This window comes from Homo sapiens, chromosome 3 (genome assembly GCF_000001405.40).
Source record: "Homo sapiens chromosome 3, GRCh38.p14 Primary Assembly".
NCBI lineage: Eukaryota > Metazoa > Chordata > Mammalia > Primates > Hominidae > Homo > Homo sapiens.
This window is the reverse complement of record NC_000003.12, coordinates 15,040,128-15,067,066: the sequence shown is the minus strand read 5'-3', so window position 1 is coordinate 15,067,066 and position 26,939 is coordinate 15,040,128. Positions and strand designations below refer to the sequence as shown.

The 26,939-nt window shown below is 47.5% G+C and overlaps 2 protein-coding genes across 28 annotated transcripts in view, besides 2 other annotated features; one reads left to right on the top strand and one right to left on the bottom strand.

The window, feature by feature from the left end:
- Positions 1,593-1,772: an enhancer, noted in NCBI's record as "active region_19525". NCBI's record gives its function as "activates an Ori minimal core promoter by ATAC-STARR-seq in GM12878 lymphoblastoid cells {active_cell/tissue: GM12878}" and the evidence as "EXISTENCE:reporter gene assay evidence [ECO:0000049][PMID:35858748]".
- MRPS25 (mitochondrial ribosomal protein S25) lies at positions 1,752-24,816 on the top strand. 3 transcript variants are annotated; one of them, NR_135247.2, is made up of 5 exons: positions 1,752-2,006; positions 7,592-7,698; positions 13,600-13,687; positions 14,434-17,359; positions 24,045-24,816. NR_135247.2 is itself a non-coding variant. In NM_022497.5 (4 exons), exons 1-4 carry the CDS (start codon positions 1,873-1,875, stop codon positions 14,624-14,626), a joined length of 522 nt encoding a protein of 173 aa, NP_071942.1. In that variant the 5' UTR covers positions 1,752-1,872; the 3' UTR covers positions 14,627-18,555. The 3 variants fall into 3 exon arrangements, 1 of the variants encoding a protein (NP_071942.1); NR_135246.2 differs by having other exon boundaries at positions 13,600-13,776; NM_022497.5 differs by lacking the exon at positions 24,045-24,816 and having other exon boundaries at positions 14,434-18,555.
- Positions 16,555-16,634: an enhancer, noted in NCBI's record as "active region_19524". NCBI's record gives its function as "activates an Ori minimal core promoter by ATAC-STARR-seq in GM12878 lymphoblastoid cells {active_cell/tissue: GM12878}" and the evidence as "EXISTENCE:reporter gene assay evidence [ECO:0000049][PMID:35858748]".
- The window catches only part of NR2C2 (nuclear receptor subfamily 2 group C member 2), a 101,691-nt gene continuing 92,545 nt past the window's right edge, over positions 17,794-26,939 (bottom strand). For 20 of the 25 annotated variants that reach the window (XM_047448826.1, XM_047448825.1, XM_047448830.1 and 17 more), the window contains one exon: positions 17,794-24,233. In XM_047448826.1, coding sequence (XP_047304782.1) covers positions 24,059-24,233 — 175 coding nt within the window. In that variant the 3' untranslated portion in view covers positions 17,794-24,058. Of the gene's footprint in view, positions 26,862-26,939 lie in introns of all 25 variants that reach the window. The other 5 variants (XM_047448829.1, XM_047448836.1, XM_047448837.1 and 2 more) reach the window with 1 other exon arrangement.

The following is a 26,939-nucleotide window of genomic DNA, read 5'->3' as shown; positions in this document are numbered from 1 at the left end:
GGTAGAGGTTGCAGTGAGCAGAGATTGCACCAGTGCACTCCAGGCTGGGTGACAGAGACTTTGTCTCAAAACAAACAAACAAACACCCTAAGAATCAAAAGGAAGTGCTAGAAGTTAAAACCTTAAATGAAAAATGCCTTAATGGGCTTATCAGTAGACTGTCCATAACCAAAGATTAAATGAATTTGAAGATAGGTCAACAGAAACTTCCCCACTAAAATGCAAAGAGAACCTCCATCACCCCGCCAGAACATTCGAGAACTATGAGGCAATTCCAGAAGACATAAAATGCATTTAACTTGAATACTAGAAAGAGAAAAGAGTGAAGAATAAATACCTGAACTAATAAATGGCTAAGAACTTTACAAAATTAATGACAGACATGAAATCACAGATCCAGGAGGCTCAGAGGACTCCAAGCAGGACAAATACAAAACATCTACAGATCTGCATTACCTTATTCTAACCCCGTAAACCAAACACCAAGAGAAAATTTGAAAGAAGCTAAAGGAAAAAGCCATCATACCTATAAATGTAATTGCATTTAATTACTTGTTTGAAACCATGCAAGCAAAAAAAGAGTGGAGTGAACTATTTAAATTGTTGAAAGAAAAACACCAGGGCCAGGCGCAGTGGCTCACGCCTGTAATCCCAGCACTTTGGGAAGCTGAGACGGGCGGATCATCTGAGGTCAGGAGTTTGATACCAGCCTGACCAACATGGAGAATCCCCGTCTCTACTGACAATACAAAATTAGCTGGGTGTAGTGGCGCATGCCTGTAAGTCCGGCTACTCGGGAGGCTGAGGCAGGAGAATCACTTGAACCTGGGAGGCGGAGGTTGCGGTGAGCCAAGATAGCACCATTGCACTCCAGAAGGGAGGGAGGGAAAGGAAAAACACTAACCTAGAATTCTAAATCTGGCAAAATCACTCTTCAAAAGAGAAGGAGAAATACCTTTCAGATCAAGAGTACTTCAGAAATGTATCTTTTTTTTTTTTGAGAGGGAGTCTTGCTCTGTCGCCCAGGCTGGAGTGCAGTGGCGCGATCTCGGCTCACTGCAACTTCCCGGGTTCGAGCGATCCTCCCACCTCAGTCTTCTGAGTAGCTGGGACCACAGGTGCTGCCACCACACCAGGCTAATTTTTGTATTTTCAGTAGAGACGGGGTTTCGCCATGTTGGGCAGGCTGGTCTCGAATTCCTGACCTCAAGCGATCCTTCCGCCTCGGCTTCCCCAAAGGCTGGGTTTACAGGCGGGAGCCACCGCGCCTGGCCCTAGAAATACATCTCACCCATAGTTTGTTTACGAAAAAATTGAGGTCCTGAGTTAAGTGGCTGAATTTAGGAAGGAATTGATCCCAAACCATCTTTTTTTCTTTTGCTAAGAAGTTTAAGTCAACGTCAGAAAGTGCAGTTTGAACTCTTCATGATAAAACTGGAGATGTTTGGGGAGAAAAATGGACAATACGTTCAATAGGACGTTATCAGCTGACTTGGTATCCAAACTGAGCTTTCCTGATTATTTCTTATTGCAATGTCTGACTTTTAGCCTATGTAAAAATATTTTCCCGTGGGTGGATGGGGAAATGACTAATTTACAGGACGCGACAACCTAAACCTTCCAAGGGGAAGGCGTCCTAAAGCGAAGCTGCACACACCGGTTCTCGCCGCGCCGGGTCGAAGGCCGCCTACAAGTCCCAGAGTGCTCCGCGGCGTGCGCTGCCCGCCGGGAAGCGTCTCCTGTGCGTCTGCGCGGGAAGTGGAACCTGGCTCTGGGGAGAAGCCGCGTGAGATCCGCGCGGGTGCTAGCTAGTCCTTTCTCGTCGCTGCTCGGCTCGCGGCCCGTGGGGTCGGCCCCGCCACCGTTGCCGCCATGCCCATGAAGGGCCGCTTCCCCATCCGCCGCACCCTGCAATATCTGAGCCAGGGGAACGTGGTGTTCAAGGACTCCGTGAAGGTCATGACAGTGAATTACAACACGCATGGGGAGCTGGGCGAGGGCGCCAGGTCAGTCGCAGCCCCGGCCGCCTGGCGAGCCGTAACCTGCTAGTCGTGCCAGCCTGCTGGTAACGTGAGGTCCCGAGTCGCTCTGGGCGGCCGTTCATCCCCGGGGCGGGCCCCCCAGGTCGGCGCTGTTACCCCCATTTTACAGAGGTCCAGACTGAGGCGGACGGCGGGGCCCCCGCCGGGCCGGCTGCAGTCGTGACGAGGTTTGGGGGGCGGAGGACAAGAACCCCACTCCTGGATCTCCTTCCTCCGGCGCGGTGGGCGAGGCTGACCCGAGGGAGGCCACCAGTTCCCTTGGCCCCTCTGGCCAGCAAGGCAAGCGCTGGGGAGGGGCAGCCGCAGATCCTTTCGGGGTGACGGGGGTGACACCCCAGGACGAATCTGAGGATAAAATGAGAGAAATAACAGCGGCGAACACTGATCATATCTCGCACAGTTCTGAATGCTTCTCGCGCTTTCTTTTTTCTGATGCCTAGAGAAACCCCAGCTTATCCCCACTCTAAGGCTGGGGAAGCGCACAGAGAGGTTAAGTAACTTGCAGCTCCACGAGACACCATGCCAGCCGGTGAGCGGTGAGCCGGGCAGTGTGGCCGCTTCCTTCGGGACTCAAGGTTTGGAAGGAAGTGATTAATTATGTCAGCTGTGCAGCGGCAGACCCTACCCCGACTAGAAGGAACTGTAGGGAACGCCTAGGATGTCTTTCAGCTTGGAGCAGAGTAGGGACTCATTGAATGGCAGTTGGCAAGTGAAAGGTTTGGATTGACCCTGAGGCAGCCCTAAGCAGTGCCTTAGGCTCTGCAGGTATGAAGTCTACATTTATTGAGTACACTCTGAGTGCTAGGCTGTGTGCTGTGTGCTGGGAGTTCAGCAGTGATGGAGGAGGCAGCCTTAGCCCGCAGAAACTTTGGGACTTGGGTGTATGTTGGATCAAAATGAGGCGTGGGGGCGGGGAGCAACTTCTTGTGGGGCATGGTCCCCTTGGTGACGGACCTTCACTGCATGGCCCTTCAAGAGATCCGGAAGCCGCTTCCTAGCCATTTGCTCTGCGCAGGTGAATCTGATAACTTGGACCTGCTTGCCTGGAATCAGCTGGCTTGATGGCTTCCTGGAAGACTTGGTCTTGGTCTTAGGGTGTATGGGCACCCAGATACTCCTTCATAACCTACTGCACAACTGTGCACACCTTTGTCCCCGGGCAACTGCCAGGCAGATAATGGGAAGGGGTGGGGGTCTCGGTGCGGCCCGCAGCGAGCTGGAGAGCACATGCCCTATCCAGAGGGCCCTTCACTGTTTGGCATTGTGGGCTCCGTGGAGAATTTCTCATTTGTCAAGAAGCTGAAATCTAGGTTTTTATGTAAATCTCTGGCTTTTAAATGGCCAGCCAATCAAAATAAGCCTGTGAGCCTCTTACTTACATTCTCAGATATTTTAATGTCCTCTAGGTAAATGGGATACAAACAGCCATTCACTGTTTCTTTGTTCCTGGTGGTAGGGGCTGGCCTGTGCCACCTGTGCCCTCTGTGATCTTGTACCCGTGGGTTGGAGTCTGTCTGCCTTGCTCTGGCTAGCCGCAGTCCTCCCCCAATCCCCAGCCCTTGTTTGTTCATGTGCCCTCAGCCCTTCAGCTGCCCCACTGGGACCTACCTCCATCCCAAGTGCCTGCGACCGGTCCAGCCAGTCTTTGGGTACCTGCTGGGGGCAATGGGAAGGTGCCTTATTTAGTATTTGAGGGCCAAGTCCTTACTCACCTCTGCCAGGTGTTCTACCCTGAACAAGTGGTCCCCAAGCCTCAGGGTGAATTTGATGGTGACAGAACAGTGTGATCGAAGGCCAGACTAATCAGCCCAGTTAGACCTGGGGCAGTTTACTTAACTTCTGACCTTAGTTTCCTTAAATTGTAAAACCCCACCTTCTGGGGTTGGAGAGTCAGGTGCCTAGCAAAGTGTCTGGCATATACAGCAGTTGCTCAACTCAAGGTTCCTGCCATTATTAACTTTCTTTTTTTTTTTTTTTCAATTGATCATTCTTGGGTGTTTCTCGCAGAGGGGGATTTGGCAGGGTCATAGGACAATAGTGGAGGGAAGGTCAGCAGATAAACAAGTGAACAAAGGTCTCTGGTTTTCCTAGGCAGAGTGTTTGTGTCCCTGGGTACTTGAGATTAGGGAGTGGTGATGACTCTTAACGAGCATGCTGCTTTCAAGCATCTGTTTAACAAAGCACATCTTGTACCGCCCTTAATCCATTTAACCCTGAGTGGACACAGCACATGTTTCAGAGAGCACAGGGTTGGGGGTAAGGTCACAGATCAACAGGATCCCAAGGCAGAAGAATTTTTCTTAGTACAGAACAAAATGAAAAGTCTCCCATGTCTACCTCTTTCCACACAGACACGGCAACCATCCGATTTCTCAATCTTTTCCCCACCTTTCCCCCCTTTCTATTCCACAAAACTGCCATTGTCATCATGGCCCGTTCTCAATGAGCTGTTGGGCACACCTCCCAGATGGGGTGGTGGCCGGGCAGAGGGGCTCCTCACTTCCCAGTAGGGGCGGCCGGGCAGAGGCGCCCCTCACCTCCTGGACGGGGCGGCTGGCCGGGCAGGGGGCTGACCCCCCCCACCTCCCTCCCGGATGGGGCGGCTGGCCGGGCGGGGGGCTGACCCCCCACCTCCCTCCCGGACGGGGCGGCCTGGCCGGGCAGAGGGGCTCCTCACTTCCCAGTAGGGGCGGCCCGGGCAGAGGCGCCCCCTCACCTCCTGGACGGGGCGGCTGGCCGGGCGGGGGGCTGACCCCCTGACCTCCCCTCCCGGACCGGGCGGCTGGCCCGGGCCAGAGGGGCTCCTCACTTCGCATTAGGGGCGGCAGGCAGAGGTGCCCCTCACCTCCCAGTACGGGGCGGCTGGCCGGGCGGGGGGCTGACCCGCCGCACTCCCTCCCGGATGGGGCGGCTGGCCGGGCGGCTGAGCCCCCTACCTCCCTCCCAGACGGGGCGGCTGGCCTGGCGGGGGCTGACCCCCAACTCCCTCCCGGACGGGGCGGCTGCCGGGCGGAGACGCTCCTCACTTCCCAGACGGGGCGGCTGCCGGGCGGAGGGGCTCCTCACTTCTCAGACGGGGCGGCTGCCGGGCGGAGGGGCTCCTCACTTCTCAGACAGGGCGGCTGCCGGGCGGAGGGTCTCCTCCCTTCTCAGACGGGGTGGCTGGGCAGAGATGCTCCTCACCTCCCAGACGGGGTCGCGGCCGGGCAGAGGCGCTCCTCACATCCCAGATGGGGCGGCGGGGCAAAGGCGCTCCCCACATCTCAGACGATGGGCGGCCGGGCAGAGACGCTCCTCACTTTCCAGGCTGGGCAGCCAGGCAGAGGGGCTCCTCACATCCCAGATGATGGGCGGCCAGGCAGAGACGCTCCTCACTTCCCAGACGGGGTGGTGGCCGGGCAGAGGCTGCACTCTGGACACTTTGGGAGGCCAAGGCAGGCGGCTGGGAGGTGGAGGCTATAGCGAGCCGAGATCATGCCACTGCACTCCAGCCTGGGCACCATTGAGCACTGAGTGAACCAGACACCGTCTGCAATCCCGGCACCTCTGGAGGCCGAGGCTGGCGGATCACTCGCGGTTAGGAGCTGGAGACCAGCCCGGCCAACACAGCGAAACCCCGTCTCCACCAAAAAAATACGAAAACCAGTCAGGCGTGGCAGCGCGCGCCTGCAATCGCAGGCGCTGGGCAGGCTGAGGCAGGAGAATCAGGCAGGGAGGTTGCAGTGAGCCGAGATGGCAGCAGTACAGTCCAGCTTCGGCTCGGCATCAGAGGGAGACCGTGGAAAGAGGGAGAGGGAGACCGTGGGGAGAGGGAGACGGAGAGGCAGAGGGAGAGAGAGAGGGACTTAACTTTCATCTTGTGTTTCAGCAAGAACCATTTTAAGATCTCTGTTGCATTTCTGTCCTAGTAGTTTAAAGTATGGGAACGTCTCACCTGGCTATGTCCTAGTTTATTTGTAAAAAGTTCTGTGACACTGGGATACTCTGCAGTGGGGTGGGAACTGATCAGAGGCCTGCTACGCCCTGGAAGGTAAATTCAGCCTTTGAGCTCCCAGGTCTGTGTGCTGTGAGGGTCTCCAAGGCCTCTATTCCTCCCCTAGAGGCAGCAGTTTTCAAGGCTTAACTATTTATTTATTTATTTTTTGAGATGGAGTCTTGCTCTGTCACCCAGGCTAGAGTGCAGTGGCGCGATCTCGGCTCACTGCAAGCTCTGCCTCCTGGATTCACACCATTCTCCTGCCTCAGCCTCCTGAGTAGCTGGGACTACAAGTGCCCGCCACCACGCCGGCTAATTTTTTGTATTTTTAGTAGAGACGGCATTTCACCGTGTTAGCCAGGATGGTCTCGATCTCCTGACCTCGTGATCCACCCGCCTCGGCCTCCCAAAGTGCTGGGATTACAGGCATGAGCCACCGCGCCCGGCGGCTTAACTATTTAATTTGAGTCTTATACCCATATAGTTAAATAACATCCTCAGAGAGCCACTTTTCTTTTTTTTTTTTTTTTTTTGAGAGAGGACCTTGCTCTGTCGCCTAGACTGGAATGTGGTGCAATCACAGCTCTGGCTCACTGCAACCTCAAACTCCCGGGCTTAAGCGATCCTCTTGCCTCAGCCTCCCAAGTAGCTGGGACCACCAGCATGTACCACTATGCCCAGCTAATTTTTAATTTTTTTATAGAGACAGGGTCTCCCTATATTGCCCAGGCTGGTCTCAAACTCCTGAGCTCAAGCAGTCTTCCTGCCTGGGCTTCCCAAAGTGCTGGGATTACAGGTGTGAGCCACTGCACCCAGCTGAGAGCTACTTGTTGATTTTTAGCTTTAGGTGTTATCTGTGGACTTGTCACTATGGAATGTCTCTCACCACCATTGTTACTTCTCACCCCCCAAACCTCCATACTCTTCCACCCACTCCTCCCAGTATCATTATTCCAAATTTTGTACAGGACGATATTCAGCGTTCAGATTAATATTACTTTGTAAATGCTGTACACAATTGAGCCAAATAGAATACTATGATTATGCATTTTTTTTTTTTTTGCAAGGCCTTTTTTTTTCCTCTGGAGTATAAATCTGTTTAAATCTTCTAAGTTTAAAGGTGTTCCTCCACTCCTCAATTGTAAAACTGTTCCCCCATGTGTGAATACATTGGTCTCATTATTTTAAAATTGTGGTATAACCTAGATACGGTGCACACCTGTAAGTATACAGCTCCATGAACTGCCACTCATGTTTACACCTTGTCTTCACGACACAAATCACGACGTAGTACCTTTCATGGTTTCATTTTCAGTGGTGCTTTGGCATTGGTGTTAGGTTAGCTTGCAGTACAGGTTGGGATACAGATTTCTTTCCCCTCAGATGCCTGCCCAGGGGTCCCCACGCCATTCAGGGAATCTTCTAAGAGGATCCCTGCGAGTTTTTTCTCAGCCTTTTTGGGTCCTCTGAGAATCTGATGAAAATGCTGGGCTTTCTCCCTAGAAAAATACCCACGCATAAAATTTCAGGCTAAAAACTCTGTTTCATAGGCTTCATTTCTTCCCTTTTGCAGGAAGTTTGTGTTTTTCAACATACCTCAGATTCAATACAAAAACCCTTGGGTGCAGATCATGATGTTTAAGAACATGACGCCGTCACCCTTCCTGCGATTCTACTTAGGTGAGTGGGGCCCTCGCCATGGTCCAGGGGCTGTCCCAGACATGCCTGGAGAGACTGCGTCCTTCCTATGGGAGCGTCAGGATGAGCTGCAGTGTGCGCTGTCATGGTGTGTCTGTGACTCCTGGCACCTTTGGCTTCCCCATACCGAGGCACTCAGCAGCCACTGAGGTCTGGACTCTTTCCCTCTCCAGCCTCACCTCTTCTTACCCTCTGCCTCACACCATGGGGGTAATTTTTCCAAAGTCCCTTGTCACACCAGGCTGTGATGCCTTTGCTCAAGATTGTTCCTGGCCTGGAATCCCATTTCTACCTGCGTTTGCTTATTTAACTGAAAAAAAAAAAAAAAAAATTCTTCAGGGCTCAGTATGGGCACCACTTCTAGGAAGCCTTCCCTGCATCCTAGAGTGACCTCCCACATGCCCCCAGAACCCCTCTGTCTCGGTGCTGTGTGTGTCCTCTGAGGACTGCGTGCACTTACACGATGCTGTTCATGTTTGGACCAGGCGCTAAGTGATGTTTATTCCATTAAGTTTGGCTCCACGCTGGAAAACGAGGAGGGCAGCTGTTCTGGCCCAGCTCTCAGACACTTTGATCCTGAGCAAGTAACAGACCCATTTTAAAATTTGTCACCTGAAGGCAAAATGTCTGCCTTACATGGCTATGAGAATCAAATGAAGTGTAGGTTGGGAAATGCTTCAGGAAACAAAATGACCATGTTTTTTCATTCATTCCACCAATATGTAACACATGTTCCCTAGGACCAGGTGCTGGTCCGGAGGCTGGGATGTCAGGAAGCCACACAAAGATTTCTGCTGCCCTCGTGGAGATTATATCCAGCAGAGGGAGACAGAATGAACAAGAAATTTTAACAAAAGATTAGGGCCAAGCACAGTGGCTTGCGCCTGTAATCCCAGAACTTTGGGAGGCCGAGGAGGGTGGATCACGAGGTCAGGAGATCGAGTCCATCCTGGCTAACATGGTGAAACCCTGTCTCTACTAAAAATATAAAAAATTAGCCGGGCGTGGTGGTGGGCGCCTGTAGTCCCAGCTACTCGGGAGGCTGAGGCAGGAGAATGGTGTGAACCTGGGAGGCGGAGCTTGCAGTGAGCCGAGATCGCGCCACTGCACTCCAGCCTGGGCGGCAGAGCAAGACTCCGTCTCAAAAAAAAAGAAAAAAGATTAGTGCTGTGGGCCTGGTGGCACAGTGGCTCACACCTGTAATCCCAGTACTTTGGGAGGCTGAAGATGGTGGATCTCTTGAGCTCAGGAGTTCGAGACCAACATGGGCAACATGATAAAACCCCATCTCTACAAAAAACATTTAGCCAGTGTGGTGGCATATGCCTGTGGTCCCAGCTACTTGGGGGGCTGAGGCAGGATTGCTTGAGCCTGGGAGGCAGAGGTTGCAGTGAGCCAAGATCGCACCACTGCACGCCAGCCTGGGCAACAGAGTGAGACACTGTCTAATAAAAAAAAGAGAAGATTAGTACTGTGAGAAACAGGACAACAGGCAAGGTTGGAAGGGTGGCCCTGTGGCAGTTTGTGCATGTGAGCTTTGCTTGTGTTTTTAAAACCAACTATTGAGGTGCAATTTACTTCAGTTTGCTGGTAATGGCACACCCAAGTAGCACGTGCAACTGGATGGGTACTGGCCGTTGTTATATACCTGTACACTTACGTACATGCCCCAAGATGCAGAATGCCCCAGCACTGCAGGAAGTTCCTTAGTGCCACTTTCTGGTTAATTTCCCTTCCACCAGAGGCAACCCGTTATCCCTTCTTTCACTATAGATGCATTTTGTTTTAGAATGTCATGTAACTAGAATCTCACAGTATGTGTTCCCTTGAGCCTGGTGTCTTTTACTCATGTTTTGAGATTCACCCAGGTTACATGTTTCGTGGTTTTTGCTGCTTCTGGCTGGGTAGTATTCCATTCTGTGAATGTACCACAGTGTGTCCACTTACCTGTTGATGACCCTTTAGATTTTTGTAAGATGCCGAGAGAGTTAGAAGTATGAGATTTATGAGAGAGAAGACCTTGAAAGAAACCAGGAGAGTGAGGAGGCCGGGCAGGGAAGGTTGCCAGAACTACAGGTGAGGACGACGCAGCTCTGGGAGCGTTGGCCAGCGCAGCGGGACATTCTAGCCTTGTGTTGGGTTGTGAAGGCCAGACCCTAGGCCCCGGCCAGGGAGAGCACGGGCTGCCCAAGTGCTGCGCAGATCCCAGCAGTACTCCACAGGGCTGTCAGCTCAGCGGCAACTCCTGGGAGGTCCTTGCTTGAAGGGAGGTTTGAGTGGTGGGCCTCCTGGCTGCCAAGAAGAAAGCTACAGTAAACGTGTGTGTAGGCTGCGCAGGTCTCTATCTGTGGACAGAGGCATTCAGGCCTCCTGGGGGTATACCTGAGTGCAACTGCCAGGTCACAGAGCAGTTATGTATTTAAGGTTCTCAGGCACCGCCTTTCCAAAGCGATTGTGCCGTGTTGCACTCCAGTCACAGGGTGGAGTTCCAGCAGCTGCGCGTCCTCGCTCATGCTGATATTGTTGTATTAATGTCCCAGGGCTGCTGTAACAATTGACCACAAACTTGGTGGCTTCACACAAATGTATTGTCTTGCAGATCTGTGGGTTAGAAGTCCAGCATGGGCTGGAACCAGTGTCAGCAGAGCCCTCCTTTCTGGAGGCTTGAGGTGAACCCATGTCCTTGCATTTCCTAGACTCTAGGGCCTGTCCACATTTTTTGGCTTGTGGCCTTATTCTACCATCTTCAAAGCCAGCAACCTTGCATATGCGGCTGTCCCTCCATCCTTCCACCTCCCTCTGACCACAGCCTGGTCAGGTGCTGCAGTTGTAAGGACCCATGGGGTTAACCTGGGCCCACTGGATGATCCAGGATCCTCTCCCCAACTCAAGGCCCTTAACTCGAATCACATCTGCAGAGTCCCTTTTGCTGTGTAAGGTTCTGGGGGTTAGGATGTGGACATCTCTGGGGACCATTATTCTGCCCACCAAATTGTCTTTTAAATTTTGGCCATCCCATTGGGTGTATATCTCATTGGAGTTGTAATATGCATTTCCCCCAAGTATCTTTTCCTGTGCTTATTGGCCACTCAGATATTTATTTTGTAAACAGTCTGTTTGAATCTTTTTTTTTTTTGAGACAGAGTCTCGCTCTGTCGCCCAGGCTGGAGTGCAGTGGCGTGATCTCGGCTCACTGCAAGCTCCACCTCCTGGGTTCACGCCATTCTCCTGCCTCAGCCTCCCGAGTAGCTGGGACTACAGGCACCCGCCACACCACGCCTGGCTAATTTTTTGTATTTTTAGTAGAGACGGGGTTTCACGGTGTTAGCCAGGATGGTCTCGATCTCCTGACCTCGTGATCCGCCCGCCTCGGCCTCCCAAAGTGCTGGGATTACAGGCATGAGCCACTGCGTCCGGCCTGAAGCTTTTCCATTAAAAAAAAAAAAAAACGGGCTGCTTTCTTGTCGAGTTCTTTATGTGTTCTGGGTGCATTTCCTTTGTTGGAGATAATGTCTTGTGACTGTTTTCTCTGTGGCCTGCTTTTCATTTTCTTAGTGGTGTCTTTTGAAGAGCAGAAATTTCAATTTTGATTAATTCAGTTTATCATTTAAAAAATTTTTTTTTAAAAGACGGAGTCTCACTGTTGCCGAGGTTGAGTGCAGGTGCTTTCTATCCTAAATTCACTTATTTCCAGTAGTTTTTATTTTCTAGATTCCTTAGGATTTTCTACACGCACTGTAATAATGTCATCTGCAAATAAAGACAGTTATACTTCTTTTCCAATCTTTTGTGTTTTGTCTTAACTCACTGGCTAATGTGGCAGTAATATTTTGCATTTCTACTAGCGACCTATGAGAGTTCCTGTTACTCCGCATCCTCACTAGCACTTGGTATTGTCTGTGCTTTTAAAATTTTAGCCATTTGCATATCTTGTTGTGGTTTAAGTTGCATTTTCCTAGTGACTCATTGAGATCTCATCATTTCGTATGCTTATTATTAGCTCTTTACAAAAATTTAGTTAAATGTTTATTCATTGATGTGGTTTGGGTCTGTGTCCCCACCCAAATCTCATGTTCAGTTATAATTCCCAATATTGAGGTAGGGTGTGATGGGCCTGCTCCATGGGAGTACGAGTCCTAGTCACCGTGGGGGCGGTTTCTCATGAATGGTTTAGCACCATCCGCTTTGGTACTGTGGTCTGTGGTAGTGAGTTCTCTTGCGATCTGGCTGTTTAAAAGTGTGTGGCACCTCCCCCTTCTCTTTCTTGCTCCTGCTTCCACCATGTGAGACTCCTTGCTCCCCCTTTGCCTTCTGCCATGATTGGAAGCTTCCTGAGGCCTCCCCAGAAGCAGAAGCTGCTGTGCTTCCTGTACATCCTGCAGAACTATGAGCCAATTAAGCCTCTTTTCTCTATAAATTACTCAGTCTCAGGTATTTCTTTATAGCAATGTGAGAGAATGAACTAATATATTCAGATATTTTGCCCATTTTATTAGTTGGATTGTCTTATTGAGTTGTGAGTTTTTTATATATTCTGGATATAAGTCCTTTATCAGATATATGCATTATAAATATTTTCTCCCAGACTGTGGGTTATGGTGACTCCTGAACTGTAAAAGTTTTTAATTTTGATTTTTCAATTTATAGAGTTTTTTTTCTTTTATGGATTATGTTTTTTAATGTCATCTCCAAAATATACTTGCCTAGGTAAGGTCATGACAATTTTCTCCTGTGTTCTCCTCTAGAAGTTTTAAGTTTGAGTGCTTACATTTAGGTCTCAAATCCATTTTGAGTTTTAATTTTTTTTTTGAGGTTGAGTCTCGCTCTGTTGCCCAGGCTAGAGTGCAGTAGCACGATCTCAGCTCACTGCAACCTCTGCCTCCAGGGTTCAAGCTGTTCTCCTGCCTCAGCCTCCTGGAGTTTTAATTTTTAAAATTTTAATGTTGTGGGTAAAAGTCTAAATTCACCTATTTAGCATATAGATAGCCAGTTATCCCAGCGCCATTTGTTGAAACGATTATCTTTCTTCATTGAATTATCTTGGTATCTTTGCTGAAAAGCAATTGACCTTACAAATAAGGGTTTATTTCTGGACTCAGTTTTGTTCCATTACAGTGTGTGTCTATTCTTTTTTTTTTTCGAGACAAAGTCTCACACTGTTGCCCAGACTGGAGTGCAGTGGTGCTATCTCCACTCACTGCAACCTCTGCCTCCTGGGTTCAAGCAGTTCTGCCTCCCAGCTAATTTTTTGTATTTTTAGTAGAGATGGGGTTTCACTATGTTGGCCAGGCTGGTCTTGAACTCCTGACCTCATGATCCACCTGCCTCAGCCTCCCAAAGTGCTGGAATTACAGGTTTGAGCCACCGCGCCCGGCCATATTCTTATACTAGTACCACACTGTCTTGATTATAGTAATTTCAATTTATTGTAAATTTGAAATTGGAAAGTAAACGTTCTCCCATTTTCTCGTTTTTTAGAATTGTTTTGGCTCTTTTGGGTCCTTTGCATTTCCATATGAATTTTAGGCTTAATTTCTAAGTTTCTACAGAAACACCGCTTGGGATTTTGATAGGGATTGATTTAATCTGTAGATCAGTCTGGGGAGAATTGCCGTCTTAAGAATATTGGGTCTTTCTATCCATGAACATGGAATGTCTTTCTATTAAAATGGCATGTTTTTTTACATATCTAAAGTTTATGCTTGCTCAGGTCTAAAGAAAAATGGAAAAAGGAAGGGTAGTATTACAGATTATGTAAACAAGTATATCTATTTTATTATTAAAATGTTTCTGCCACTAAAAGCAAGTCCCAAATTACAACTTTTTGAGGCTGAGTGCGCTGTGAGTTCTGTTTCTCTTCTGCCCCGTGCTTTCCGTTTCCAGATTCTGGGGAGCAGGTCCTGGTGGATGTGGAGACCAAGAGCAATAAGGAGATCATGGAGCACATCAGAAAAATCTTGGGGAAGAATGAGTGAGTTGTTTGGTTTGACCTGGAAGGAACAAACTTCTCAGCCCAGAGAATTTGAGGAAGAAAGGGGTGTGTGGGAAGGGTGTTGAGAGGTAAGATTCTCTGACAGTGAACGCCAGACACTAATAAGAGCTGGGGCTGTAGAATCAGTTCTTTCTGATGTTGCTCTTTACCAAATCATTAAACCTCTGTAAGCTTTATCTCCCTTGGCTGTACAGTGTGAGAAGTACCTCTCTCCCTCTTGCGGGGGACGGGAAGCTGAAATGCAGCTGACTTGTGGCCCTGTGCAGCTGCTAACCCATCTCTCCTGGGAATCTCAGCTTGGAGCTAGCAGACATCTAGCCCTAGGGCTCCTGGTGACAGGTCTTTCTTTCCATGAATGAGAGGAGACAGAAAGGGACGGAAGCTGAAAAAGTCTGTCTTTGAGAAACCACACAGAGGCCTTTTCAGGCTCCTTTATCTTGTGATTGCATGTGAGAGCTGTGGGCTCCACCTGTGGCAGCAGATAGGCTGACCGCACTGTGTAGGCTTGCTGCTGTGGTGTGAGGGGACAACAGCAGGCCTTCTTTCAGCGCTCTCCTCAGGGGCCAGCAGGGAGACAGCGATAGGCTTTGACAGTGAGGATCAGGTTAGAAGGCAGGAGATCCAGGTGTCCCTGGTGGATGGTGGGGTTGTCTCGGCTGAGAAACTGCCCTGTGCCTGCCACTCAAAGTTGCCAATGCTTGGTTGCCGTCTGTGCTCTTTGGCAGGGAAACCCTCAGGGAAGAGGAGGAGGAGAAAAAGCAGCTTTCTCACCCAGCCAACTTCGGCCCTCGAAAGTACTGCCTGCGGGAGTGCATCTGTGAAGTGGAAGGGCAGGTGCCCTGCCCCAGCCTGGTGCCATTACCCAAGGAGATGAGGGGGAAGTACAAAGCCGCTCTGAAAGCCGATGCCCAGGACTAAGGCCCACGGTCACTGTGGGCTGGGGTGATGGTGTCTGACCAGTGGGGAGATTGGAATGGGATTACTTTGGCCCAGGGAAGCCCCTGGTTCTGTCCCTGGAGACTCTGGAAATCCTTTTGCATTAAAAGGACTTTACACACCTGTGTAAAAGGATGTGGGAGAGGAGGGTCTGAAGCTGAGCTGCTAAATGAATATCCCTGCTCTGCTGGTCAATAAAACGCTTCCTAATAGCAGCTTGGCGTGTATCTGGTCCTAGTGAAGAGGAAGGCCTGTGTAGCAGAAAGGCTTTGGGCCTGAGAGGTTAAGGCCACAGCCTGTTGACACCTGTTTTGGTCCTGCGACCCTTTACTGGTCTCCGCTGGCTTTGAATCTTCCTCTGGGCTCTACTCTGGAGAACATAAGGGCTGCTGTGGTTGAGTCTGGCTAGCACTGTCTGTGGTTGGCAGTGTGTACACCCCTCCGTTCAGTTCCTTGGGGGTATTTTTCAGAAATCCAAAGGCAACCCTTCGTGCAGTGCTCACTTTTTTAAGTACAGTTGATTACCCTTGCCTGCTGGGGGGCCTAGCCATGGGCCAGAGATGGAGGAGCCCCAGTGGCTGACAGGCCAGCCTCACTCAGGCACGTACCTGCTGACCAGTCAGCCACTGCCAACCCATGGCCCAGCCACTGTGTGCATTAGCAGGGAGGTTTGTAGGCCATGGAGGAAATGAGGAGACACCACCTAGTGGAGACATTGGGGCCCTGCTGGGGGGATGGTGTCTATAGCTGGCTCTGCTGGCTCCCTCAGGCCCTGCTTACCAAGCTCTGGAGGAGGGAGTGCTGCATTACTGAGCACCTTCCTTGTTCTTTCCTCATAGGACACTGATGTTACTGTCACTTTAGTTATGCTAAAGTGGAGGTTTCAGCCTCCAGAAGACAGCAGAGCCTTCTAGGGTCACCTTAAGAATAGGTTTAGCTAGGCTGGGTGTGGTGGCTCATGCCTGTAATCCCAGCACTTTGGGAGGCTGATGTGGGCGGATAGTTGAGCCCAGGAGTTCGAGACCAGCCTGGGCAACATGGCAAGACCTTGTCTCTACAAAAAGTACAAAAATTAGATGGGTGTGGTGTTTCGCGTCTGTAGTCCCAGCTATTTGGGAAGCTGAGGTGGGAGGATCTCGAGCCTGCGAGATCAAGGCTGCAGTGAATCATGATCGTGCGCTACTGCACTCCAGCCTGGGCCACAGAGCAAGACTGTCTCAAGAAAAAAAATTTTTTAAATAAGTTTAATTATAAAGTGAAGGACCAGTTGGACCACGGACCCCTAGAAACTCAGCCAAGGAGACCTGACTTTATCTGAGACAGGAAGGCAGTGGTTAAAAGAATTAAAAAAGGACAGTGGTGCTTGACAGAGCAGGACTGAAGTTTTCATTCCTCTACCTGCTGGGGCCTTGGTCAAGTCCTAAAAGCTTTCCAGGTCTGTAACTGGTTTTGTCTGTAAAATGGGGAAAAGGTTACCTTTTCTGCCACATGAAGTAGCTGGCTGGTGAAATGATGTCATACTACGATGTGTTTCATTAACTGTTGGAGATTATCACATTAAATTGAGCAGATTTGGATCTTTTACATTTGATGCTCAAGTTTGATTCTGTACCAGATCTGGGTTTGGGGTGATGGCTTGTCGGGGGTGGGAGGGGAAGGTGGGCAGAGACTGATGTATAATGGACAGGTGTTCCTTGAGTGACAGACTTACAAAGGGAGTGTTTAATTGAAATCTAGCATCTTGTCTCTCTGCTATCAGCATTTTGGCTGGGTGGAAAAAGCTCTCCTCCACAGAGAGCCCTCCCATGTCTGCTGGTTTCAGTTCCCCACCCAACTGACTGAAGTCTTGACCTTGATACCACCTGCCTGGGCGTTCTACTTGGCTGCAAGGGCTCTTCAGAAAGCACCTAGTTCCTTTTGGCTTTCATCTGCAGTGTAGGTCTCCATAGCTAGTGACACACAAAGCCTTATGAGAGTATTCCTTCCCTCTAGGGCCCAAAGAGGCTGCTAACCAGCAGGAATGTCCTGAACCAAAAGGAGTGGTGACCATTCTCTAGACAGAATAAATGTCTGGTCCCTAATGGGACAGATAACTAGGGTTTGAGTTCAGGCTTGACACAGGAGCAATGGGCAGTGAGGTGGACAGCCCAGACCCTGAAAGGACGTGTGGAGACAGCAGCAGTCCTGTGGTGCAGTTACTGCCTGTGTGGCCAGCTTCACAGGCAGCAGATAATTTGTGGAAATAAACATTATTTTCTTTTTTTGTTCCCTGTAGGCTACTTGATCCTGGATAGTTTCTCTTTAAACCTTTGTCTTTCCCTATTTTGTTTAGTAGTGATGAAAGATGGGTTTAAAATATACAGAAATGGGAGAAAATTAATTAGAGAAAATGTGAGGATTTTATAATTGATAACATGTTCTTAATTTTACTTGCACAAGCAGTGTTCACAGCCTTATTCTGAAGTGACCACTTTTCTTCTCTTTGAGGCACTACCTGGCAGCACCATCTAAACCTGTATCATCTGCTGTGGTCCCAGTTACTCAGGAGGCTGAGGCAGGAGGATCACTTGAGCCCAGGAGGTTGAGGCTGGAGTGAGCCATGACTGTACCACTGCATTCCAGCCTGGGTGACGGAGTGAGGCCCTATCTGCCTGCCAGTGAGTTCTGTCATGCATCAGACTTTGGACCTCAGAATTTTCACCTGGAACATGAGAGGTCAGATGACATAATGAATATGTTCTAACTTCTGAAACTTTTGGAGCTTGTTTTTGCCCTTGATAGCACGTATCCTTAGAGAATAAGCTTGCCAATTTAAGGCCTGTCTGTAATGGCATCTGAATGTTCCAGCAGCCTAACTGTGCTCTGCTCCAGAAACATGTGTGTGGCTTCCCTACCTCCACACCAAGGAGCTGCCTTGCTGGGTGGATGTAAAGACTGTCCTGCCAGGGTTTCCCACTAAAGGTATTAATAAGTCCAGTGGACCACAGAGGGCCCAATCCCTCTTGGCCGCTAAGGCTAAGGTAGGAGCCAGAGAGCTGTAGAGACAGGACCACCAGGATGCTTCATGTCCATAACACAAGAGAGCGCTGCATTGTTTGGGGGCCAGGCATTACTACTATCATGAAGAAAAATGAAGAGCAGGATGCATGTTAGTCTTTAATTCACTTTTAATAGTATAAACCTCATTTAGGTAGTAGTATTAAGCCACAACAATAATGCCACATTGAAACAGCATTTAATAAAATGCATAAAGCTAATTCATGCACTGCAATACTCTATATACAAACACAACAATGCAAATTCTTCTTCAAGACTGAAGACATTGATTAGATATAAAATTCAGTTTAAAAAGAACATGCTATTTTTTAAATGCCATCACATAAACAAAGTGATTTCACAGGGAGAAGAAAGCTGTATAAAGCTGCAGCTTTCAACAGGTTTTAAACCTGGCATTAAAATGTAATGGCAAAACCAATATTTTCTATATTGTGAAGGGCAAAGGTTACAGAAACGGTCCCAAGAAAATCTAACACCCAAATTTTCCTTTGATAGATAGATGCCTTTAAAAGGGCTGGTAATGCAGTTACATTCTAACAGAGAAGTCCAAACTACAGGTAAAAACTACGGCTTGTACTGTGAAAAATGTGCAGCTTTTCAGTTATAAAACTAGTTGAACACTGGTTTACAAGATAATCCGTAGAACAGAGAGACTGTAGAAAAATATTCCAGCACTTGAGTTGTGTGTGGCAGCAGCATTTGAGTCCATGAATGCTATGGTCATTAAAATAATTGATTATACTTTCCTAAAGAAAAGCCATTTTTTAATGCAAAGTCTACTACTTCCAAATGTTATTCCAAACATTAAATTTTAACAGTCTATCAATCAATAAATGTTGAACATTTTTTTTCTATTTTGCATGTATAAATATCAAGACACCAAAATTATTTATAGCTGGGCATTAAAAATATCTGACATTTTTCTCCCCGCAAAGATACTTTTCTTAAGCTCACACTTTAATTATTTGTAGACTGCTGTTAAGCTAAATAGCCCCAAAGGAAACTTTTAATTCATTTAGAGACTGTCAAGTTTCCAATTGCATTTTAACTAGAAAGCCACTTTCAATAGCGTGATTGTCACGACAGGCTATGACGGGGAAAGGTCGCACAATCTTGTGGGATGAGGCCAGTGAAATAGAAGCTTTCTCTACATCAAAAACAGGGAAGCTGAAGGCTAAATGACCCACTGTCTCACAAAAGGCACTGAGTACTATGGTCTCATAAAGTGTTTTTAAAACATTTTGATAACTTATTTTAAAAAGAAAAAGAGGAAACTGTGGATTATGTGAGTTTTTGCAGCAATCTAGTGATTCCTTCCAGCAGGCCCCTGCTTCCCAGGTCTATGAGCAACTACTGCTGGGCCAGGCCCTGGCTCTCAAGGGCCGAGTCTCAGTTTAAGGCCAGATTAAGGGGGAAAATTCGTCCGAGTAGACCTGGACGAGGAAAATTTGGTATCTGTAGCTTTTAAGGGCACACATATCCATATTAAAATGCAATTCTTATCTGAAAATTTAAAATCATAACTTATAGAAAGGAGTTAAAGTCATTTACATGCTTACAGTTAGAGAAGTAACTTGAGATCTGTAGCTTATATGCCGCAGAAGTTAGCCATCAACATCCATGCTTAGTTTTAAAGAATAATACTTGGTAGGTTGTTTATTTTTAACTGGCGATAGAAAGATGGGAATTACTATTTATTCAGTCATAGGACAGTGCCCCACATCTTGCTGACTGAGCACAGCGCAAGCCTGGGAAATTGCTACCATCTTTGGGAGTCAGGCCTCACTGACACAGACCGTTCTGAATCTCTGACCGTGACGCCTGTCTCTGGGCTACTCAACAGAGCTGAATAGCTGGGAAGGCTGATGGCTCAACCCAACTGCCAAGTTCCTTCCAGGTAGGGCCATGAATAGGTGCATGAAAAGGTTAAAAATTCCCACTTAGTTTTGGATATTAAGATAAACTGTCTTCCAGCTTCCTGGCTCTTGTCCGAACCTAGAGAATATACGGAAATGTCACCCTGTCAGAACCTCTTCTGCCTGGAATTCTTCCTTTTGCAGAGTGGAGATTCTGACTTCATGGCCCTTCCCAGGCAGGCTCACCCAAAGGAAAATGGAGTGAAGAAAATCACCAGCAAATCTTCCCTGCCGAGGGACCTTGGAACACCCATATCAGTTTACATTAGCAACTTTATGAAAAACTCTCTTTAAAGGAAAGTTTGGATACATGTCTGTATACATAATATACATCTATGTACACATACACACACTATATACACTGTACATATGGAGAGGATATAAACACATGTACATTCATTCAGTCTTACAGCCTAGAAACCTGTACACGCACAATGCTGCTGAAGGGACCCAGGGCTGGACATACGAAGTGCACGCTGGTGGGAGGCACACAATGAGAAGGTCCAGACCCTGTGTACAAAAGACCCAAACCAACCCTGTCTTGATGAGGGGTTGGCTTTAAAAATTTACATCAAAGTTAAGACATTTTCAAAGAGCCTCATAACTGAGAGAATGGAAGCTGGATAAAGGAAGCACGTGGGGCATCTGCTCTGCTGGCTCAGGCATTCCCAGGGCCCAGTGGGCACCGCCTTCCCTGGGAGAAAAGTGGCTGTCAGATGATGAGACTTCCTATGACCTGGACTAAGAAAAGAGTTAAAATGTTACCTATGACCCCATTGCACATAAAGTCATTTACACTGGAAAGTGGGCAACAAGCTTCTGGACTCCAATGAGATCAGGTCCCAGAACATGGATGTACACATGTGGCATGAACTGCTGATTGCGGCCAGGGGCTGGAAGCCCTGCAGAGGGCGGGCTGTGAGCAAGAGTGCTCTGCAGGAAATGTCCTCAAAGGACTATGAAAGTAAAAGCACTAGAAACAGCTAGAGTCCTTAGAATTTTTTGCTCCTTGCCGTAACTATCCCCCAAACAAGTAAGACAGCTAATAAGTATGTGTGTAGCGTGGATATTGCCTTGAGATTAAGGAGCCTAACGCATCCACTGTTAACACCATGGCTGGTGTCCTAACTGCCTCAGAAGAGTCCACATTCAATACTGACAATGACAAGCTAAAAATCAGTCCCTCTTGAGGGCAATTACACATCTTAGAAGTGACTACACCTGAAATTAAATATAAAGCCCAGAACAGCAAAAGAACCTCAAACCACAGCCTTATGGCAAGGGTTAGACAATAAATGTAACTCCTCAGGACACAGAAATGTCAAATTAGGAGAGTATGGTAGGTAACACACTTCCTTAAAAACACCTTCCAGGAGTAACTTGAAAAGTATTACTTGCTCAACTAATTTGGTCTTTCAAAAAATCTCTTCCTGTCCTGTTTTATGCTAATGTGTAATGATCTCCACCATTTTCAACATCTATCTGTCTTAACCCAACATTATCTGAGATACTTCTGGAAAAGAGCTCACTTAACTGATGACAGCATGTGTCTGTCCCACCTCTCTGAGCCAGCTGCCTCTCCTCATTGAGGGAGGAGCAGCCAGGCCAGTAGAAGAGGGAGCATGAACGTGGCTCCATGGAGTTCAGTAGCCAGAGGACAGGTCTCACTTCATGAAACCCAAAGTTTCACAAACTGCTAATAAGGGCTATAAGCCCTGTGAAAGTTGGAGCCCAAATATTTGGTTTGCATCTCTTTAAGTAATTCTTGACTTTGGGCTGACTTTACTTAACCAACCTGACAGGAGATGAAATGGACCTGCAGTCAGAGGCTTGAAATGAGTTAAAGCAGCAAGAATACAGGTTACGTGGACATGATCCTTAAAGAAAAGGCCACTTCAAAGTAAGGCCAAGAGGATCTCAGAAACCAACCAAGAGGTGTTCAAAGCCCAAAACAGTCCCTGGAATCAGCCATCACCAGCAAGGGGACTTAAAGAGCAGGACCAGGTTAGAATCAGCACCTTTCCAAGCAAAATCACGTTTTCTGCAAGGTTGTTTCACCACAGCCCAACACTTCCTTATCCAGCCTGAGTCTAAGCAGCCTACTGGCTGCCACTGAATGACCTGGGAATGAGAGGAGGGGCTGGTGGAGACCTTTTCACCAACACCAAGAACTGGGATCTGAAAGCTGTTATGCTTGTATTCCCAGGGAACTGCAACATGGCCCTCATGGTCACTCTCAAGGATCAAAACGACGGAAGGCAGGCAACAATCTGTGTTAGAGGCACCACTGAGCTGCAGGATGCCTGCTACTAAAAGCCTTCACAAGCAGAAATGAAACAAACCTGCCCTAATTCCATTGTCTCAGCTGGTTTTTTGTCTTAATTTTGAAACTGAAAACACATCAGGGTTAGAAAAGTAAAAATTACTTTAAGCTGGCAAAATTAAATCCTTTCCATCATTTTATAATGGCCACTCCCACTACTCTCCAAAATTTGCTGCCAAGGCAAGAATTATAAAATGATATAATTAAATCCAAACAAGAATTTAGAAGTTGGAAACACTGTTCCCACTTACCCTACTAACACTGACTTGCGTAAAGTGCTGCTAACCCTTCAGGATCAAGCATCCTGTTCTGCCTTGAGCCTGCAGCAGCTTCCATTCTGTCCAATGTGGCACCACAGGGGCGTCTGTAGCTGGCCAGACTGCACCCCTGTGGAGCACATGTGGCGCCAGCCTGAGCCAGATCAGAGCACCTGTGAGTCAGGGGAGTGTCCAGGGATCTTTTTGGATATCATCTGATTAACAAATCAAGAGAGGCAAATTTAACCCAACAGGGTGTATTTTCTTAATCTGGACTATTTAAAAAGCAAAAGACAAAGCAATTGACCGGGTCTTCCACATGCCACTGTTCTCAAACAGGAAAAGCTTGCTATATATTCACATCCGTGGGAATTTACGGGTGTTTGAAGTTAGACATAACTTCCTTTTAAGCGCATACTGTTCTTGCTGTAAACTCTGGTTGCTACAATTTATGAGGAGAAAGACTATCACCCTGGAAATTGAGGGTTGTTTTTAAGGAGCAAGCAGCCTGCATTTAAAATGCTCCGGGGTGGTCGGCTGGCACACACCTGGGGGAACCAAAGTGCACAGTGTGCTGGTAACATTAACAGACTTGCCAACAGAGATGCTGAGTCTATACACATTTTTAAAATCTCTGGTATTTAAGGTCAACAGGAAGAAATTGTCCTGAAACCTTCCATCCAGCTTTACCAGGCCCTAACCACTCTCGCCAGGCGGCAGCAGGCTCCTGCCCAGCCCCAATCCAGCCTCACAGTTATGATGGAGCTGCAGAAACACGAGCCCTTTTCAAGGGGGCATTTGGAGTGGAAAGCCCTGGGAAGGTAACGCTCACACTCCAAGGCCACACTCCTCCATCTGGACAAACACACAAGCACCCCCAATTGTATTGGAAGTACTGTCAAGAGCTCAAAATGCCCACCTTGCACTTTTTGGTCACAAGGCTCCATCTGCCACGAGCGGCGGATGTGACTTGGGGATGTTTTCACTTGCTGGAGGAACTGTACATCTCATTTGGCAGTTAATGTCTGACTAGTTGCAATCCAATTCAGATAACCAGTCATCAAAGGAGAACCCCAGGTTCTAGAGGAGTCTGCAGATGCCCATCAGAGACCAGGACCAAGTAGTCAGGGAACCTGACAAGTGTCTGCTCTATGGCTAGAAGCTTCTGAACTGGGTCACCACCGACTGTGCTACCACACTCCCACTTACTGCATGATGCAAATGAGCCACGTTTCCATTCACAGAATTCAGCTCAACTCCACAACATGTGCACACAATTAGGAATGATGCCTTCTTTTCTTAAACATAAATGATTGTCTCCTGTACCCTAGTGAGTTTTCACAGAAATCATTAGCATTTCGGCAAAAGACATACACAGTTTTCCATTTGCCCTGCCCACAGGCAAGATGTTGCTAACGTTACACATTGATAAGTGCTTAGAAAGTGCTAATATTATTACCCTGGTAATTAGTATCTATAATTCCAAGGACTTTTTTATATATATATATACACACATACTATTCTCTCAGGTTCTTTCAGTTTTCTTTAATACTAGTCTCTGACATTATAAAACCTTTTTTTTTGTTTTTTGCCCTTTGAGAATTTCTAAATACAAATTGAGTTAAAAGATTGTTCCAAAATCTGCTGCTTCATCAAAAGGCATTAAAACATTTCTTATGTCAGGAAAGGATCCTACTAGTCTTTTAATTGCTATTGTCTGGGATTAACAGATAAGGAGAAACCAGACAGGAAATGGCTAACATATGGAAATATTTGCACATACCAAAATACCACTACTTTTCTTTGTATGTGAACGGTCCTGGAAGGATTCTGTTGCTCCTTGGCAGGTGTGTGGTTTGCGCTATAGACTGGCTCCGGTGATCTGGCCATTATACTCTGCTGTCTCCATCTTGAGGATGTAGGGGATTATGCTGTCTATCGAAACATTGCCAATGAGACCAGTAAAAAAAAGTTCTTCTGTTATGTTGGAGCTCATCAGCCTGAGTGCCGGCAGGCGAACGAGGATCCGGGCCAATCTATAAAAGGGAGTGTCATTAGAAAAGGAGACTGTTTGATGCCCTTCAACCACAGCTCAGCAAAGGCTCCTGGGGTCCCGTCTGTATTGCACAGAATCAAACCAAACGGATCCACCATCCACCCACCTCTCTTTTCTGATTTCAACAGTTCCTCTTATAGAAATTTATCATGAGAAAAAACCAAATGAGTACAAAATGTATGTACAGATGTGTTCCCTTCACTCTTGTTTATTCCAACTCTCCTCACCCCCACCACCAAGAGAAAACCTGGAAATTCATCAACAGAGGACAGACTAAAGTAGGAGTCTTCATATGATGAACTGCTAGAGACTCATTTAAAAAACGATAATACAAACCTGTATTTACTGACCAGGAAAGACATCCATGACATATTGCTCAATAAAAGTTTAAAAGGAGATTATAAAACAGCAAGTATAGATGTGTATATAAAGTATTGGGAAAATGTTCACCACGCTAACAGTTGGGCTCTGGGTATTGGGATTTGAGGTGATTTTTTCTTATTTTTTGTACTGCTCTAATTTCCAGTGTTCATTTAGCATTATAAATAAAGCAGTAAAATAGCTTTCATTTTGAAGAAACTTGGGGTGGAGGGTGCACCACAATGCTGCCCTGGAGGGCCACTGAACACTGTGTATCTCAAGTGTCCCACGTGACCAGGCCATTCCCCAGCCAGGACTGGATCTCAGGTGAGCAAGTGGAGCATGTGCCAGGACTCTACTGCAGTGCCATGTGTGACAGCCCAAACCGGAAACACCCTACCTTTTCATTAGCAGGGAAATAGGAACCATAGAAAATGAAGAAGAGTACGTATTGTTATTGTATATTACATGAAAAAAGGTTACAAAACCTTTGGTATTTTATGATCCCAATTACAATACATAAAAAATTTCTGGAAGTGAATACGCAAAATGTTAATAGTAGGTATCTGGACAGTGCTTTTTTGTTTTTGTTTTTTTGAGATAGTGTCTTGCTCTGTCATCCAGGCTGCAGTGGAGTGATGTGATCACAGCTCACTGCAACCGCAACCTCCCAGGCTCAAGTGAGTCTCCCACCTCAGACTTCTGAGTAACTGGGACTACAGGTGCACACCACCGCACCTGACTAATTTTTCATTTTTTTGTCATAGAGATGGGGTCTCACTATGTTGCCCAGGGTGGTTTCAAACTCCTGGGCTCAAACAATCCTGCTGCCTCAGTGTCCCAAAGTGTTGGAATTACAGGTGTGAGTCACCACGCCCTGCCCCTGGATAGTGCTTTTTAAAAAGTTTTCTTTTTCCTTTTTCCTTTCTAGAACATTCTAAATTTTTCTAGAGTGAATACTGCTTATTTTTAAAATGGGAAAATGTATTCATACTATGCAGGTAGCATTCCAGCACCAGCATCCATTCACTCAGCCACAATGAGTCGCTGTGCTCCAATCTTGCAGGGCACACGAAGGTGTAAGGGACCTGCCATCTCAGCTGGGCCTTAGGGGCTGGCTAAGATTTCTATCAGCAGAGATACAAAGAATGGGGAGGGATGGGAGGCATTTCAGGAGGAATAATCAATATGAGAAAAGGCACAAGGATGGGGAAGAGTAAAAAATGGATATTCCAGACAGTAAATATCAAGATAAAGAAAAAATGAATATGCAAACAGGATGTAAAACACTCTAGGCCCTTTTCTTTGAGAACTATCTCGAGTGAATTTCTGAGCCCTATAAGAAAGCCTCCCTTATCATTTTGGGCTCCAAGTAACCTGTCGTCACCCTACCCAACCCTGGGTCCCTGACTGGACAGGAGTGACTCATGATGTTTTCAGACACATTGTATCTACTTTCCAAGGCCACAGAATCACTGCTGTCAAAGTGATTCTCGAGTGTGCTGTGGCTCTGCCAGTAGCCCCAGAGGGCCATTTCCAGCCATCTTTTGGCCATGGGAACTGTGGGGGAGCAGGCCTGTGGCCTCCTAGGAGGACAACCTGACTGTATACCTGGCTGGATGTATAAATTCTGGGTGTGGATGCATTCCCTGACAGTCCCATTCTCTATGTATTGAGGCTGAAGTTATTCTAGATTCATGATGAAGTCTTCAATGATTCCAGTAGAAAATGGATCTTGCTTTTGTAAAAGCCACATCTGGGCAACAGAAGTGCGCCAAAAGGAGAAGCAGGCTCTTGTCTACCAGCAGGACCAGCCAGCCATAAGACACCCCCAGTCACACCAGAGAAATGACTGGGACTGTCCTGGTTTTAGTGCTGAAAGACTAAGAGCTGGTTACCCTGCTGGGGGGCAAAATCATTTGAGAAGCACTGGGCCAGAAGGGGTAGCCCCCAGGGGCATCTGTGTTCCATGGGGCTCCTGGAGACTGAGGTCTGTGCAGAGGACACATGTCGGGAAGGTGGGCCTGTGTGTCTTCCCAGGCTGTCAATTTTGTTCCAATGTTTATTTTAGGGGGACATGGTGGGGAGGGAAACAGGAAATACTTTACTTGAAAGGGTCTCAGAAATTCATGTAGCTTCTGGTAGGTCAGAAGTTGTCATAGGAAAGCAGCACTCTTCCATCCTTGGCTGGAAAGCCTGCCAATGCATTCTGACCTTTGGCAGATCTGAACAATTTTCCTGCCTAAAGCTGCACGAGAAAGGGTTTTTTTTTGTTGTTTTTTTTTTTGTTTTTTGAGAAGGAGTCTCACTCTGTCACCCAGGCTGG

Bases quoted from the DNA above. Each gene is read 5' to 3' on its own strand.
- MRPS25 (NM_022497.5), top strand. From the start codon at position 1,873: ATGCCCATGAAGGGCCGCTTCCCCATCCGCCGCACCCTGCAATATCTG. The intron at 7,699-13,599 runs GTGAGTGGGGCC...TTCCGTTTCCAG, and splicing joins CTTCCTGCGATTCTACTTAG to ATTCTGGGGAGCAGGTCCTG. The intron at 13,688-14,433 runs GTGAGTTGTTTG...GCTCTTTGGCAG, and splicing joins AAAATCTTGGGGAAGAATGA to GGAAACCCTCAGGGAAGAGG.